The sequence below is a fragment of the Homo sapiens genome, chromosome 16 (assembly GCF_000001405.40).
Source record: "Homo sapiens chromosome 16, GRCh38.p14 Primary Assembly".
Lineage (NCBI taxonomy): Eukaryota > Metazoa > Chordata > Mammalia > Primates > Hominidae > Homo > Homo sapiens.
Window position 1 is genome coordinate 14,446,282 of NC_000016.10, and position 17,817 is coordinate 14,464,098.

At 38.5% G+C, this 17,817-nt stretch overlaps 1 protein-coding gene across 7 annotated transcripts in view, besides 1 other annotated feature; it reads right to left on the reverse strand.

Annotated features, from left to right (window-relative positions):
- Positions 1–17,817, reverse strand: part of PARN (poly(A)-specific ribonuclease) — a 194,560-nt gene that overhangs the window by 10,581 nt on the left and 166,162 nt on the right. For 3 of the 7 annotated variants that reach the window (XR_007064884.1, XR_007064883.1, XR_007064881.1), the window contains one exon: positions 607–15,553. Coding sequence is in view for 3 of the 7 variants with exons in the window: in NM_001134477.3 (NP_001127949.1) it covers positions 607–800 (194 nt within the window). In the remaining 4 variants the exon portion in view is untranslated. The remainder of the gene's footprint in view (positions 1–606; positions 15,554–17,817) is intronic. The other 4 variants (NM_001134477.3, NM_001242992.2, NM_002582.4 and 1 more) reach the window with 2 other exon arrangements.
- Positions 12,371–12,665: a silencer, noted in NCBI's record as "tiled region #750; K562 Repressive non-DNase unmatched - State 15:Elon". NCBI's record gives its function as "represses a minimal TATA promoter and a strong SV40 promoter by Sharpr-MPRA in K562 cells {active_cell/tissue: K562}" and the evidence as "EXISTENCE:reporter gene assay evidence [ECO:0000049][PMID:27701403]".

Consider the following 17,817-nt stretch of genomic DNA (forward strand, 5'->3'; position numbering starts at 1 on the left):
ATGGCCCCGCACACTTAGCCTCGCTGAGCCCAGGCATCTGCTTCATCAAATAAGGATGATGATTCCCACCTCAGGGCTACGGTGAAAATTAAATGAAATAAGGAGAGAAATGGCTCCTACTACAGCGTCTAGCATGTAGTAGGCTCTCAACAGGTGCTAATTTCCTGTTTCCTTTGCTTCTTATATAATTCTGCTTCGGAGAGAAATCCAGGTTGCCTGGGGGTTTTGCTGGAAACAGTGAAAACGCTGCTACTGAAAATAACATGTAGGAGGGGCCTCTGCGCACATTTAAATGCACATTTTAAATATTGAGGCTGCTTTAAACACATCAGCAAAACCTCTACACCATGGAGGAGAGAGAGATTACCAAAATAGACTAGCCATCTTTAACAAGGAGACCCCCCAGGCCTTATGCTACCCGAGCCAGAGCTTTTTAGGATTCCTCAAATTAAATTAAATTGATCCTAAAAATATCTGCTTTGGTGGAAGACTACATGGGCTTTGCCACCAAGTGAAGCCTTGCTATAATTTCTCCCCCAAAATAGGAGTTTCTAGAGCATTTAAATAGTCCACGGCCCCAGAACTTCGGCAAGATCCAATACAAACCTGCTGGAGAAAGCTCCTTCTTCATTCTTTTTAATTTCTTGGCCTTTTTCCTTCCCTCTGAGAGGGGCTCTGCACAGGAATCGGTCTGCTCAAGCTCAGTGTCGGAAATCTCCCCTGACACTCCGTCCTCCAGGCCAGCTTCCTCTTGACTAGGACTCAAATTTCTCTTTCCTACTGTGCTGGGAGCTGTAAAACTGAAATGCAAAAAGTGGAACAACATAAAAGGTGCTGAGAGTTACAGGAAGACTAGTCTATAAAAATATTTTAATACTCTTAATTCTATTAACACTCAGCCAGCCATCAACAACATGGGCAGCTGCTGCCTGTGTGTAAAAATTAAAGACCTTATTATGAACTGAAGTCTGAAAGTTTACCTATAACAAGCTTATTCAGAAAAAAGTCCTAAATTATGCTTGTAAATAGATATACACAAATTTAAGCTGATCCGAGTGCTCAAGAACAAATCCGTAAAGTAGCCTCTATTTTGATAAAACTATTGTAACAGAATAGTAGAATAGAATAGTAGAGATAATATAATGAAATAATAGTTTTGGTTACATTAAATCAGAAGATAGCATTATTCTCTTCATGACTGCCTAATGCATAAAGAGCAGAACTGAAGAATTCTTCAATCAGTCTGCTATCCCACTGCTTAAAACTTGGACATAGCTACAGAGCATACCCCACCTTCATGTAATCTTCTTCCTTTCCAAAAAGATGACTTGTTAAATGTATAATTAAATGTTTCATTTTGAAAGCTTTATAGGCTTTGACATATTGAATTAAATCAGATTATGTGTCCTGATTTTTCCTTACGAAAATGTTCCCTTAAATATAACTAGATAAAAACAGCGTCCACATAGCCAGTGAGTCCTTTCTCCTCTAAATGGGTCTTAGAGATTTTTTTATTATAGCCCCCAAGTTATGAAAGCCTCAAATAAATTCAAGGCATTCTATTTAGGAGAGGCCATTCAAGCACATGGGGAGGGTGGGAAGTGAGAGATAAAATGATCTTACCAGCTTTTCCTAGGAGGTGGGTACTTTTAAATTTTATCTATCTATCTATCTATCTATCTATCTATCTATCTATCTATCTATCTAATCTAATTATTTTTGAGACACAGTCTTGCTCTGTCACCTAGGCTGGAGTGCAGTGGAGTGATCTCGGCTCACTGTAGCCTCCGCCTCCCGGATTCAAGTGACTCTCCTGCTTCAGCCTCCCAACTAGCTGGGATTACAGGCACCCGCCACCATGTCTGGCTAATTTTTTTTTTTCCCTGAGACAGAGTCTCGCTCTGTCCCCCAGGCTGGAGTGCAGTGGCACAATCTCAGCTCACTGCAACCTCCGCCTCCCGGGTTCAAGCGATTCTCCTGCCTCAGCCTCCTGAGTAGCTAGGATTACAGGCATGCACCACGAAGTCTGGCTGATTTTTGTATTTTTAGTAGAGATGGGGTTTCACCATGTTGGCCAGGCTGGTCTCGAACTCCTGACCTCGTGATCCGCCCAACTTGGCCTCCCAAAGTGCTGGGATTACAGGCTTGAGTTACCACGCCCGGCCTCTGCTAATTTTTGTATTTTTAGTAGAGGTGAGGTTTCACCATGTTGGCCAAGCTGGTCTGGAACAATGGACCTCAAGTGATCTGCCCACCTCGGCCTCCCAAAGTGCTGGGATTACAGGCGTGAGCCACCATGCCCAGCCAGGAAGTGAATAGTTTAAAATGTTCCACATAAAAAACTCTGGCTACCTAAATATTCAAGTTCCTCCACATTACTCCTGCACTCAACATCTTCCCTGAATCTGCCAAGTGCACTTGATAGGACACTCAGGGGACAGAGGAGAAGAACACACTGCCTTCCTGGTGGTTCTCTAAGGCATGGGAAGCAGAAGAGGCTGGAGCACTCTTCCTCCTATGACTGGCTGGCTAGCCTTTCATTTGTCCTCTTTTTCATTTCTATTATAGACAGCTTTCTGAAACATCTAATTGAGGGACTATAAGGGAGGATATTAATGGTAATGTTTCGGCAGTGGGGGGTGGCTGTTAAAAATGTATGCTGAAGTTTCCTGTTTAAAAACTGGTAATACCTTTAAGAAGATTTTTTAAAGACTAGAAAAAGTTCGGCTGATTTCAGAAAATTTAGAAAATTCAGGAAGTACAAGAAGATAATAAGGGTTCTTCTATCACGAAAGGGGAAGAGGCCTAAAAATTCCTTCGCATTGTAAATTCAGGAACCTGGTAGCCTCTGAGACATACATAAATGTTTAATGAAAACTCAGCTAGAACCACGGGCATTAAAAATACTCTGTGAAATACAAAGTCTAGAAATAGCCCCAACTGTACCTAGAAATCTACTGTATGATAACAGTGGTATCTCTAAATACTGAGGCATATATGGACTTTAAAATAATGGTGTTGGGACAAGCAGAAAAGGATAAAATTAGAACCATTCCTCACACCATATAAAAGAATAAATGCCTAATGGATTAGATATCTAAATGCAAAAAAGGCAACTTTACAGGTACTAAAACAAAACGCGGGTGAATGCCTCCAAAATCCAGGTGTAGAAAAAGGTTTTCTTGCCATGTCTCACAATCCAGACATAATAAAGGATTTATGAATGTGACCTCATAGATGTAAACATCTTTTGCAGGGCAATAAATAACGTGAGCCAAGACAAATGACAAACCACGAGGAAATATCTGCAACATGTATCACAGATAAAGGGTTAATGTCTCTAATAAATTATAACTCAAACTTGAAGAGAAAAAGAAAGACCAAAAGTCCTATAGAAAACTAAAAAAGGTATGAATAAACAGCTCATTACACACACTCCTTAAACACATGAAAAAATGTTCAACTCCATTCATAATGCAAAATAAAACAACACTGAAATATCACTTCTCACCCACTAGGTTTTTAGACTGGCAAAAACCTTCAAAAGCTTGATAATATACTCCATTAGTAGACTGGGGAAATGGGTCCTTTCTCACATTACTGGTATGAATGCAAAATCGCATGACTTATTCTTATGGAGGGAATGTGGCAATATCTAACAAAACTGCATACACTTCCAGGAATTTAGAAGATATACCTCCTACAATGCAAAAATATGCATGTACAAGTTATTCATTACAGCATTATTTGGAATTGCAAAATACTGCAAAGTACCTAAATGTCTAAGCATAAAAAACTGGTTGAATACGCAACAGTACATACAATCAATGAACTACTAAGCAGTTACCAAAAAGAATGAAGATCTCAAAGAACCGAAAATGATTATGGAAAGATTTCCAGTAAAATATGTGCAAAAAGCAAAGTGCAAAAGAACAACTTATGAAGCTGGTATGCCCAATCTTGAGTAGGGTGTGGGAGAGAATTGCAAACAAATCCTGAACCCCTTAGTAGGCTTGCTTCTGTAGTAGAATGAGTGAAGCAATTCTGAAAACACTTAGCTGCATGATAGCACTGGGTAAATCAGTAAATGTGCTGATGTTTCTGGCAGACAGACATAAAAATATTAGAATAAGGGAAGATAAGGAAGAACCCTCTGAGGATAGACTGAAATTGGAGATACGGGTTTAGGCTTGTGATTTCTAAAATAAGTATGAGTATATGTGTTCATATTTATGTATACACACACACACACACATATATATATACGTATATTTATGCAGGGATAGATAATTGTATCTATCCAGGCACAAAATTCCCAGCTCTGTCTACAGAAAGGACGTAGAAGCAGAGACACCAGAGTAGCAATGAGCATATCTATTGTCCAGATCTTAGTTTCTAATACCCTACTAAAAGGAACCAGGGTTCCTCAAATAAGTGGATGATTCCAGGCTCAAGGGAGATAAATTATAAAATGAGTCTAAAATATTTTGCAATACCAAGAAGTAAAAAACTTTTAGGCATGTCACAGGGAAATAGGAACTAGCTTGAAAGGACTCCCACTGGGAAAATCTGGGACAATGTGTGCCCTCTAATTTATTAGGGGGCAGTAATAAATTCTGAATCATTGAAAAAAAAAATAGCAATCCATGAGTCTACATCAATACGTAAGACAAGGAAAGGAAAGGAAAGAAAAACTCCGACTCTCCACTATAAACCTAAATTTAAACTGCTTGGCACAGCATCCAGGATCCTCTATCATCTGGGTCCCAATCTGCTTTCCTGGCCTATCTTTCACTAGGCAGCCAAGCTGCAGAGACTATATAGGTTTACCTAATGAAGTTCATCGTCCGTACTCTCCCACATGCCCGTCATCCCACCAGAAGTTTACTGGCCCAAATACATCCCACACTGCCCATTTCAATGTTACCGTTCATGCTAAGACCCTACTGCCCATCTCCTCCTGCTCAACATCACTCTCCTCCGGGAATGTTCCCAATCCCTGTTTACTGTTCTTTCCTTTCCATGCTTCCCATAAACTCTGCTTTTCTGTCTCATGAGGACTTTAACTCGTTCATCTTATTTTTTATAATAAACTGAAACTAGGAGCAGTGCATCAACAGGAGAATGGATAAACTGGGCTATATTCATACAACGAAATATAATTCAGCAATTAAAAAATGAATTACTGTTACCTCCAACAACACGGATGAATCTCAAACATTCTAAGTGAATGAAGCCTTCACAGGAAAGGGTGGGTATTTTATAAACCCATTTACATGAAATTCCAGAAAAGGCTAAACTAATCTTCAGAGAAAAAAATTCAGAAGAATGGTGGGTATGGGAGGGTAGGTAGGGATTGACTGGTAGAAAATGAGGGAATTTTCTGGGGTAACGTTAATTCCCTGTGTCTTTATAGGAGTATAGTTTTGTCAAAACTTCTATCTTGGCCAGGTGTGGTGGTTCACACTTGTAATCTCAACACTTAGGGAGGCCAAGGCAGGAGGATTGCTTGAGCCCAGGAGTTCAAGAACAGCCTGGGCAATGTGGAGAAACCCCGTCTCTAAAAAAAAAAAAAAAAAAAAAAATACAAAAAAAAAAAAAAAAAAAAAAATACAAAAAATTAGCCAGGCACAGTGGTGGCATGCCTGTAGTCCCAGCTATTTGGGAGGCTGAGGTGGGAGGATTGCTTGAGTCTGGGAGTTTGAGGTTTCAGTGAGCCATGACCAGCCCACTGCACTCCAGCCTGGGTGACAGAGTGAGACCCTGTCTCAAACAACAACAACAATAACAACAACCACTTCATATCTCAACATCATGTGGCTATTCTACGGACATGGAGATTGACTAATTTTAGCATTAACTTCAAGCAATGATTTTGAAGGCACTTACTAGAATACATTGGTTGTATCCTAACCACAGATTATGGTATTTTTGGCCAACAAGACCCATGCATTTGTAATGCTCCTCTCCATAAACAACTGACTGCTATGCAACAGGGACTCTGCCAGATGTGCTTCTGCAGGGTTCTTGTTTCTATGGAACATTTAAGTTTACAAAGCATTTTCCTGAACAGTTTCTCAATTAATTTACAACTTTATTTATTTATTTAGAGACGGAGTCTTGCTCCGTTGCTCAGGCTGGAGTGTAGTGATGTGATCTTGGTACACTGTAACCTCCATCTCCATGGTTCAAGTGATTCTCATGCCTCAGCCTCCCAGCTAATTTTTGTATCTTTAGTAGAAACAGGGTTTCACCATGTTGGCCAGGCTGGTCTTGAAATCCTGACCTCAGGAGATCTGCCTGCCTCGGCCTCCCAAAGTGCTGGGATTACAGGCGTGAGCCACCGCACCCACCCTACAGCATATTTCTTAATTGCTAATCTGTATTTCTGCTCTCAAGTAAGTCTTTTGCTTCCTAGGAGAGGCTAATGGTTATTGGGCATCCTGCCTGAGAAAGCTCTCAGATATATGTGGAATTAGTTTATTTCATATAATGTTTCTGTATCTATATGTATGTAAGACCTGCCATCCTCTAATAAAAATAAAAGCTGTGATTATATCCCATATAACTTAACTACGGCAGTTTTAAATAAAAGTTTTAATTATACATTAAAAACCAGATATATGTAACACTGCCTTTACAAATGTGATTCTTTATATATTTGGAAGGTACTGCTGTGCATGTGTGTGTATGTGCATGCGTGTGTGTAGCACTCTCAATACCTGCATGTTGATGAGGCATTCTTTTATTAACTGATTTTAAAAGTCAAAAGGTAAAATGAGAGGCAAAACAATCTCCCATTTGTATGACCTCATTTTGCATACAGATTTATAATGTACAAAGTGAGCTAGTTTATAATGAATAAGAAGTGGACATTTAAATCCACTGTAAGAAGTGGTGATTAATTAAAAAATAAAATGTCACAGACACAACTTGGTATGTTAAAATTGAACATTAAACTTTGATTAGTGTTTTGTTAAAAGCTAAGTCGCTGTCAACTATCCATCAAATTCCACAAGGGTGAACATCTCCAGTACTTTTTCCTTTTAGTAGAAAGAAATGTTTGCTTATAGAAAGGCCGTATTTTCAAACCCCTACAAATACCTTTTTCCATGAAGCAATAACAAAAATCTAGCTGCTACATGAACATATTCCCCATTTTAAATTAGGGTATTATTTACATGCAATGGAATTCACTTATTTTAAATGTACAGTTTGGTTAACTTTGGGAATTGCTTATAACCATGTAACTATTACTACAATTGAGATATAGAACAATACCCTCTCCCTAAAAAGATTCCTCGTGTCACTCTGCACTCAATCCACATTGTCACAGCAACTATTAATCTGCTTATAGTCCTATTTATATAGTTTTGCCTTTTCCAGAAGTTCATGTGAATGAAATCATACAATATTTAGTCTTTTGTTTGACTCTTTTCACTTAGCATAATACTTTGAGAGTCAGTCACATGGCTGTTAGTATTAGTACTTTATTTCATAGTATGGCTGGATCACAATTTATTCATTTACCAGTTGATGGACATTTGGGCTGCTTCCAACTATTTGTCATTACAAATAATGCTGGTATAAACATCTGGGTAAAAGCTAGCTTTTATTATTAAAAACATAAGTTTTTATTTTTCAAATATAAATACCTAGAAGGATTTCTGGGTGATATATAAAAATACATTTGCAATTTATGTTTAACTTTACAGGAAACTGCCAAACTATTTATTGGCCATTTGTATATCTTTTTTGAAGAATCTGTTGAAATGTTTTGACCTCATCCCCCTTTTCAAAAAACTGGGTTGTTTTCTGAATTGCCGAGTATATATTATAAGAGTACATATGATCATGATACAACTATTTTGTATGTAGATACAACTACATTATTAGATACGCAGTTTGAAAATTTTTGGCCCGGCATGATGGCTCATGCCTGTAATCCTAGCACTTTGGGAGGCCAAGGTGGGCGGATCGCTTGAGCTCAGGAGTTCAAGACCAGCCTGGGCAACATGGTGAATCCCCACCTCTAAAAGAAAAAAAGGAAAAGAAATTTTTTTCCACAGTGTGTGCCTTCTCTTCACAGTTTCTTAATAGTATCTTTTGAAGAAAAGAATATTTAATTTTGACTAAGTCCAATTTATCAACATTTTTCTTTTATGGCTCATGCTTTTGTTGTCATATCTAAGAAATCTCTGCCTAATGCAAGATACTAAGATCTCCTTTCATTTTTTTCTTCTACCAGTGGTTATCATTTTAGTTCTTCCATTTAGTTCTATGAGTCGCTTCAAGTTCATTTTAAATGTGGTGTAACATAAGAACAGAAATGTGGTTTCTGGCATAGTTACCCAGTTGTTTCAGTACTGTATGTAGACAAAGCCTTCCTTCGCCTACTGGATTACCAGCACCTGTGTCAGGAATTTTTGTTTTTTCCAAATTCTCAACAGTCATTAGCTTCAAGATTCAGAAATGAGAAATTCAGAATTCCCAAATCATAAAATATTCTGCATTTTTCATAGCATTGTGTTACATGTTGTTGAATAATGAGTTATAAATAGCAAATCACTTTTATGTGATACACTTATACTGAAAGCTTCAGGGGTCAGTTCTATAAAGTAAGATATAATAATATATGCACAGGTTATTATTATGAATGAATACACTGTGAGAAAAGCACGTATTTCAATAACACATAAAAATAACCTCTACCTGATATAGACGTTTGTTAACAGAAAACATTAAAAACACAGTAGCACCAAATGAATGCCAAATATCATTTAAAAATTGAAAGATGCCACAAATATTTAAAAGTTATTCTTAAATGATACTTTAAAACACACAAGTATTAACTAATATTTGTTTTGTGAAAAATATTCCAAATGTAGAAAAGCTTCTTTCATTTTATGCTGAACATTGGTCAAGAGTTGGTCAAACTCTTCAGAGTGGTGTCCAAAGCCAACTGCAGTTAGGATTTAGACTATATACGGCTTCATATAAGCCCAATTCCTTTCCTAGTGTTGAAAATATTTTGTCTGCTTGCCTTGATTTTGCTCTTAAAATTGATACTGCTTTTCCTAATTCAAATTTTATATCAGCTGATTTCACATTAAGAGTATTCCACAATCATATTCACACATCTTCTCTTTACATTTCTCCTGTAAAAGTATTTACAAAGAACCGTAGCCTACATTAAATATTCAAACACTGGAAAACACCAGTGAACATTATTGGATTCTATGAAGATAATGTAACATTTGGCTATCCTAGCAAGGTTAACAGCACTACACAGGAATCACGCTTCAAAGCTACCAACTTAAGGGCTGCTGCCAAAACTTACATCTTCCAACAAGACTTGGAGGATTTTGTAAAGTATACTCATGTGCAAAACTCAATAGATTTTTATTGAGAAGAATGACTCACTATTAATAGCAGGCAGGGCCATAAACATACACTTGCAATATGGTGACAGTGACAAGCAAGAATGACGTGATTGGAATGTGACCCCTTCTCTCCTACATGTTGCTGTCCTGGTTCTGAAATGACGACCTTAATCTCTGACTCCATGTGTCGCTGACTGTGCTCTTGCCTTTGACCTGATGCTGGATAATTCCTTTAAACTAGTAATGCCCATGTTGGCTGTTAAAATTTTAGTTCTCGCAGAATATTTCCTTTTCCTGATTTCTTGACTCATTTTTCTCACAATTTGGAATAAGAGACAAATGTCTCTAAATGCCAAGAAGGAATTCCTGCATGGAAAAACTATGGGAAATCAACTGATCACACATATGTGGTTGTATTCTTGGACTCTCTATTCTATTTTGTTTCACTATCTGTCTTTCCTTACCCAGCCCCACACTGTACTACTACAGTTTTACAGTAAGTTTTCTTTTTTTTTTTTTTAAACTGATGGGGTCTGGCTCTCTCACCTGGGCTAGAGAGCAGTGGTGCAATCACAGCTCACCGCAGCCTCAACCTCCCAGGTTCAAGCGATCCTCCTACCTCTACCTCCTGAGTAGCTGGGACTACAGGCATGCACTACCACACCTGACTAATTTTTAATTTTTTTGTAAGGATGGGGGTGTCTTGCTATGTTGCCTCAGGCTGGTTTTGAACTTCTGGGCTCAACTGATCCTCCCTCCTTGGTCCCCCAAAGTGCCGGTATTATAGGCGTGAACCATCATGCCTGGCCTACAGTAAGTCTTAAAGACAGGTAGAGCAAGTCCTTTAGTTGGCTGGAACGTTCATGCGCTGTATAAAATAACAGTACCCTTTCATTTTAAAGAGCTGCTGTTTGCAACATTCTCATATTTGGTAACTGTATATGACCCTTTTAAGCTGGACACATGTACACTCCCATTTTGCAGACAAGAAACCTCATCTTCAGGGTAAATGACCTCCCCCAGGTACTGCAGCTGGGCAGGTGGCTCTGAGATTGCACTCCAAGTTCAATGTTCTTGGCACTGCTTTATAAACTCCCATCTTCCTAGGGCCAGCTCTCCTCACTGTGCCGGTCTCAACAGAAAAGAGACCCCCGCACCATCCCCACGGAGGAGCCGAAACAGCCACTTACCTTGTCACATTCATTCCTCTGCCCTGTTTTATTTTCCTCCTCCTACTCGCCTCTGCCTTGCCTCTTATTTATGTCCTTACTTATCTATTCTCTCTCTCTGTCACTAGAATGTACGTTCCATGAGAGCAGGCTCTTACACTGCTTGTGCTCTCCGTACCTGGCACAGGGCCTGGCATAGAGTAAGTCCTTGGCCAAGGTTTGCTGAATGGATAAAATAAATGAAATAAGTGAAAGCTACCTCCCTAAAAGCAATAATGCAAGTGACAAACAACAAATTGCTTATTTTATCCTGAATTAGAAATAATATGAACATAGTTTACATTCCAGTGTATGGGCAGCTTCTCCTGCTAGGCTGAATGAAAGCACATTCCCTACTAGATGTAGCTAAGGGATTGAGGGAAGGTCCCACTGTGCAAACTACCTCACACAGCAAAATGAACTGGAGAGATCCGGTAAGTGGGAGCTAGAAATGCCTTTTTATTGTGTTCACAAACTTTCATGGTGAATTCGAATTCCATGAGCATGACTGTTTCTGTGTTTGGGGCTCAATTTAGGTGGGAGAGGGGAGGATGTTGGACAACCTATGCTCAGTTCAGAAGCCAAACCCTCGGAGATCACTGATAAACCAGGATTCTTATTTCTAATAAAGAATTTGAGTCTTGGGGCCAGGCGCAGTGGCTCACACCTGTAATCCCTGCACTTTGGGAGGCCGAGGTGGGCAGATCACTTGAGGTGGAGTTCGAGACCAGCCTGGCCAACATGGTGAAACCTCGTCTCTACTAAACATACAAAAAACAGCCGGGCATCATGGTGTATGCCTGTAATCCCAGCTACTCGGAAGGCTGAGGCAGGAGAACTGCTCGAACCTGGGAGGCGGAGGTTGCAGTGAGCCAATATCGCACCATTGTACTCCAGCCTGGGGGACACAGTGAGACTCTGTCTCAAAAAAAAAAAAAAAAAAAAAAAAAAAAGAGTCTGTAAACAAACTTAACATTAAATAAGGTCTGAATGGTAGCTGTCTGGTAATAAGGACATCTCTTGTGGAATAGGGGTGTGTGTGTGGGGGTGTGTGTGTGGGTGTGTGTGTGTGTGTGAGAGAGAGAGACAGAGAAAACATGAATGCATTGTGTATCTGCTCCATCCTAGACATAAAGCTTACTTGTGAATACGAGGCTTAAGAAAAAAATTAGTTCAACATTACAAAGAATCAATAGCATTCAATAAGAAATACTTTTCACAAGAAACTATTTTGAATATTTCAAACAATCCCCTATTGTCAACTCACTTTAACACAGAAAAGATTGATGCAAACATGAAAGATACTACATTAATAATAATTTCTAAATGTAAAATATATTATCAATATACAATTAGTTGGACCTGAATTTAGAACATCTGAAATTTTCAGAGGCTAGGATCAAATTTACTTTTGTACTAAAATTTACCTTTTGACTTCAATCAAAGGACTTACTAATCAAATTAGTAACATAATCAAGGCTATAAGAAAAACAAAACATCATCCCTGCAAACCAAAAGGCCAACTATTTCAGAAAATAAACTACTTTTTAAAAATTTCCAGGAAGTTAAACATGAGCGATTGAACACACTATTTATCTGCAGAGAGAAGATAACACCTATGGAGGAAAAGAGAACAGGAGAGGCAGCATCAGAGAATGGGGTATCAGCTCACCTTGCAGGCACTCTCTTTGTAGAGGAAAAGCAGGGAGAAGAGTGGCAAAGAGCTCTGCATAGAGGCAGAAACAGAAATCTGAGTGCTCTACAAAAGGCAGATTCACCCAATTAAGCCATGCAAAATCTCAGCACAACCAGGCCCTAGATTCCTAAAACGAGCAGGTGATGAGGACTGGAGCCATGTCAGGAGGGAGCAAGGCTGTAATAGGATCCCCTACCCCAGGGAAGCCAGGGCACTGGTATCACCCCAGGCCAGTAGGAGCTAGATAGGAGGTTTATACTCTGGAGAAAGCGATCTCCGCAGGCTCAGCGGCACCAGGTACAATGGTGAAGAGTGACAGTGAGGCGAAATGAGCTGACGAAATGGGGTAGCCATCCCCCACATACCGAGGAGTGAGGCTGTCCAGCTCCCTTCTGCCAATCTGTACCCAGAGCACAGCAGTTAGGTTTGTATCCCCCAAGCTGAAAATCAGAGCATCAATCTCTAAAAAAAACTGAAACCTTACAGCTAATTCATATTTAACGTTGAAAGATTGAAAGCTTTCCTCCTAAGATCAGGAATAAGATAAAGATGTCAGCTCTCACAACTTCTATTCAACAATGTACTAGAGGTCCTAGCCAGAGAAATAAAGGCAAGAGAAAGAAAATGTGTATGGGAAAATTTGTACTGGGGAGATAAATGCAAATGTCTTTATTTGTAGATAGAATTTCTCAAACGAAAAATATCCAATACTCTACAATAAATTATTAGAACTGATAAGTGAGTAAGTAAGGTTGGTTTAAGAATACAAGGTCAAAATTAAAAAGCTATTATATTTCTTTATATTAGCAATAAATGACTGGAAGTGGAACTTTAAAAATATATGACTTACAATAGATCAAAAGGTAAAATACTAAGGGACAACTCCAGTATAGCATATGCAAAATTTGCATGCTGAAAACTATAATACACTGATGAGAGAAATCAAAGAAAGCCCAAGTAAGTGAAAAGATACACTACATTCATGGGTTGGAAGACTCAATGTAGTTAAGATGTTAATTCTCCTCAAAATGGTTTACAGGTTCAACACAATTCCAATCAAAGAGCTAGCAGACTTTTTGTAGAAACTGACAAACTGACTAAAACTTTTGTGGAAAAGTGAATAGAATAAACTTTTATATAGAAAAGACAAGATTAAAGGTACAATATTTGATTTCAAGGCTCACTACAAAGCTACAGTAATCAAGACAGTATGGTATTGGTGAAAGAACAGACATATAGATCAATGGAATAGAATAGTGTCCAGAAATAGACCCATACGTATATGACCAAATGATTTTTGACTAAGGAGTTGTAATTCAGTAATTTACTTTTCATAAAATAGTGCTGGAATAATTGCATATCTATATGCAAAAAATAAACTCATACCCATGCCTCATAACCGTATATAAAAATTAACTTGAAATAGATCATATATCTAATATAAAACTGAGAATAATTAAAAACTGCTAAAAAACATGAGAAAATCTCTGTGACCTTATCTAGGCAGAGTTCTCATGTAGATATAAGAAGCGTAAGCCATAAAGGAACTGAATCAGCCTCAGAGAAAAGACATATTAATTATAAAGCCAATTTTTCACCTCAACATCCTACACAGAAAGACCATCAATAAGATTTGCCTCCACACCCAGAGCTTCTTATCAATTTTTAGTTCATTCTTAAAAAATAATGGATGGCCAAGAACAGCCAAATATTTAAAGAAAGCTTCCAACATGACAGACAAAAACCAAAACAGACCAATATACAGACAGAAATAAAGGAACTCTGAGGAAACAAGCACAGAGTAGGGAGCTGAAGGAAACTTTACAAACTACAGCCAGTCCTTGCTTTGCACGTAGTACAGGATCATAAAAACATCTGGACAACGGAAGGGTGAGTATTCTACACTCGTACTCCTTTGTAAGTTTGAATCATCTTCCAAAGGGTTGTCCTTTGCACTCTAAAGGTGTTCTACACTCACCTTGAAATCAAAGAAAAATGGATTTTTCTGTGACCTTTAGAAACTTTCGTCAAAACATTATTAAGTCTCTGACTCTGGGTTAAAAATAGAGAAACAAACAAACATACAAAAGGTAAAGCCACAACATTTAGTACACTGCAATTTAAAGCATCAGAAACCACTGAGAATTAAAGTGTTTTATTTCTTTGTATAAAACTTATGTCTATATAATGATATAGATCAATGACTAAATAACAAATAAGAGACAAATCTCTTGTTCAGAATAATTACAGACACTCCTCCCCCAAGGAGGTGGAACATAACTCCCCACCACTTAGACTTGGGCTGTGTACAGTGACTTCCTTTCAAACAGCAGAGTGTGGAAAGAGAGAGAACAGTAACTTCATGTGGAGAGATCTGGCAAACACCACCTCAACCCAGGTGATGAAGGTTAACATCCCAAGTGAGAAATCACATTGACAGCATGTTCCCTTGATATGAAGTGATGAGGATGGCACTTCATCACGGGTCTTCCATCCAAAACCCATAACCTTAGTCTAACCACTAGAAAAATATCAGACAAACTCAAGTTGGAGGACATTCCATAGATTAGCTGGCCAATTTCATCCTGAAACTGTCAAGGTAATCAAAAACAAGGAGAGTCAGAGAAACCATCGTGGTCTAAAGAAGCCTATGGAGATATGATGGCCAAATATAATATGGTATCCTAGATGAGATCCTGAAACTGAAACAGAAAAAGGACATTAGGTAAAAACCGAGGAAATGTGAATAAAGTATGAGCTTTTGTTAAAAACAAAAAAACTTATTCAGGGTAGTTTAAACAGTGTGTGCCTTCTTCTTGCCATGTAACTTATGATATGCAGTGAGTGTTTCTTCTATGCCTGGGTGAACTGTTGTACTCCTTTGTAAGTGTGAATCAGCTTCCAGTGGGTTATCCTTTGCGCTTTCAATGTAGTGAAATATCTCTGAGAGCTCCTTTAATGTGAAAGTTTGTGCTGGCGTTACTTCTTCTGGGACATCTTCATCCTTTTTGTCACAACCACTTTCCTCATTTATGCTGATAAGTTGCCTTCGTTAAGTTCCTCTGGCTGCAGATTTACAGTAACTCAAATGGCAGCAGTGTCAACATTCCCGTGGTCAGCTAATTCTTCTTTATAATTCTACTTGTTTTGATTTGAATTTCACTTCCAACATTATCACTTATTGGTTCCTTATGACACTTTCATCTTGGTTGATCAATTCTCTCTTTTGATTATCCATTTGAAAAGAATGTTGCCTGGGTTTATCACTGAGAAACAAGGAGACAACATAATGACATGTTTTGCTGTCTGAGTGAATAGAATAATGAATGTGCAGACACACAGACTCTGAAAGAAGTGACCTGATTGGTGACAGATTAGGATGTGCATCTGTTTTCTACACAGGGATGAGTGGACTGAAGAGCTAGTAGTGAAGTTTATACTTTATTCAATTACTCACAGTTAACACATCGTAGTCACTGAAATTGGAATCATATTATTGGGGGACTGGTGTTATTTAACTAACCTGGTGACTGAAATCCATGCATATCAGAACCATGCACAGAGAATTACTTGAAAAATTAATGTCCTTATAGACATAAAAGATAATTCTACATCCAACAAGGAAGAGCTGTATGCATTCTTTCAAAGGAATATTGTGAAGACAAGAATTCTTAGAAATTAAAATAGGAGTTGAAAGAAAAAAAAATCCAATGAAAGTATTGAAGGGGGAAAGTCAGAGAAATGTCCAAGAAATGAACAAATAGATGAAAGACAATAGAAGGGAACAAACAAAGACAAAAACATTAGAGGATAAATCCAGGAAACCGACATTTAACCACGGGAGTTCCAGAAAGAAAGAAGAGAGAAATGAAAGAAAAAAACTGTCAAGGAAATAAAACAATATATTTCCCACAAAATAAAAGACACAAGTCACAAATCACAAGTCTTCAGTCTGTAACAGCCCACAGGGAGTACCCAGCATAACACTTCCAAGGCCCATTACTGTGGAATTTCAAAACACTGGGAGAGAAAAAAGAATATTCTCGAAAATTCCAGAAAGGCCCAGATTGAGAGACAGAGAGAGAAGAAGAAGAAGAAGAAGAAAAGAAAAAAGAGGCTCTATAAAAAGGATCTTGAATAAAACTGACATTAGATTTCTGGATAGCATGTTTGAATGCAAAGACACAAAAGACACTGGAGCAACTTCCATTCCAGCCAAGATGGAATAACATAGACTGATTTACCTACCCAGCCAAAACAACCAAAAGAATCAGACAAAATACATGAAACAATGGTTCTGAAGGCACTGGACATTGGGCAAGGAAGCACAGTGATCCCTGAGAGACAGGAAACTAACGAGGTGAACCCAGTGACTGCCCCAGTTTACTGGTTAGAGAACCCTGGGTATCTGCACAGGAATTCCTCGATGATTCAGCAGAGGACTGATCAGCACATAATGGGTGAGCAATTCCCCAGGGCTGGGGAAAGAACCATCCAAAAGGATTCAAGGGAACAATATATGGTGCTCACACAGGGCTGAGAACAACGCCTGTTCCCACCAGCTAACTTGGGAAAACACATACATCACAGCACTGGGGAGACTAGTTTGGAAGGTCTTAGGCAATGAACACTGCTCCAGACCCAGCAAACTACAAAAGTAAGACCTGAAAAAATCAAACTGATTCCAAATATCTCAACGACATACTGGAAACAAAGCTCAAGAACATTTATAGGAATACAAAAATATCTAGTACACCACAAGGTAAAATTTATAATATATGGTAAAATTTATAATATAAAGACTACCAGGTTTCCTTCCTGTAGGAGATAGCTTAAAAAAGAAAAAAGTAAAATAACAAAGACTATCAGGTATGCAAAAAGGCAGAAAAACACAACCCACAATAACAGTAATCAATGAACTGAAAGTGATGTGGAACTGATACACATGTTAGAATTAACAGAGTAGGACACTGAAGGGTATTTATAACTGCACTCCATATGTTGAAAATGATAAGCTACAAACCAAACAGAACTTCTAGAAATGAAAATTACAATGTCTGAGATAAAGACCCAGCAATAGTAACTATCCAAAATAAAACACAGAGAAAAAGAATTTTAAAAATTAAAGAGAGCATCTGTGACCTAGAGGACAACTTCAAGCACCTCAATATACATGAGTAATTGGAGTCCCTAAAAGACAAAATGAGAGCGGGAAAAAGAAAAAAAATCTTTCAAAATAATGGTTGAAAAAAGTCCAAACTTTTTTTTTTGGGGGGGGGGGGACGACAAGGTCTCACTCTGTCACCCAGGCTGGAGTGCTGTGACACAATCACAGCTCACTGCAGCCTTGACCTCCCTAGGCTCAAGTGATCCTCCCACTTCAGCCACCCTAGTAACTGGGACTACTGGCATGTGCCACCACGTCCAGCTAATTTTTTTGTGTGTGTATTTTTTTGAAGAGACAGGGTTTTGCCATATTGCCCAGGCAGGTCGTGAACTCTTAGGTTCAAGAGATCCACCTGCCCCGGCC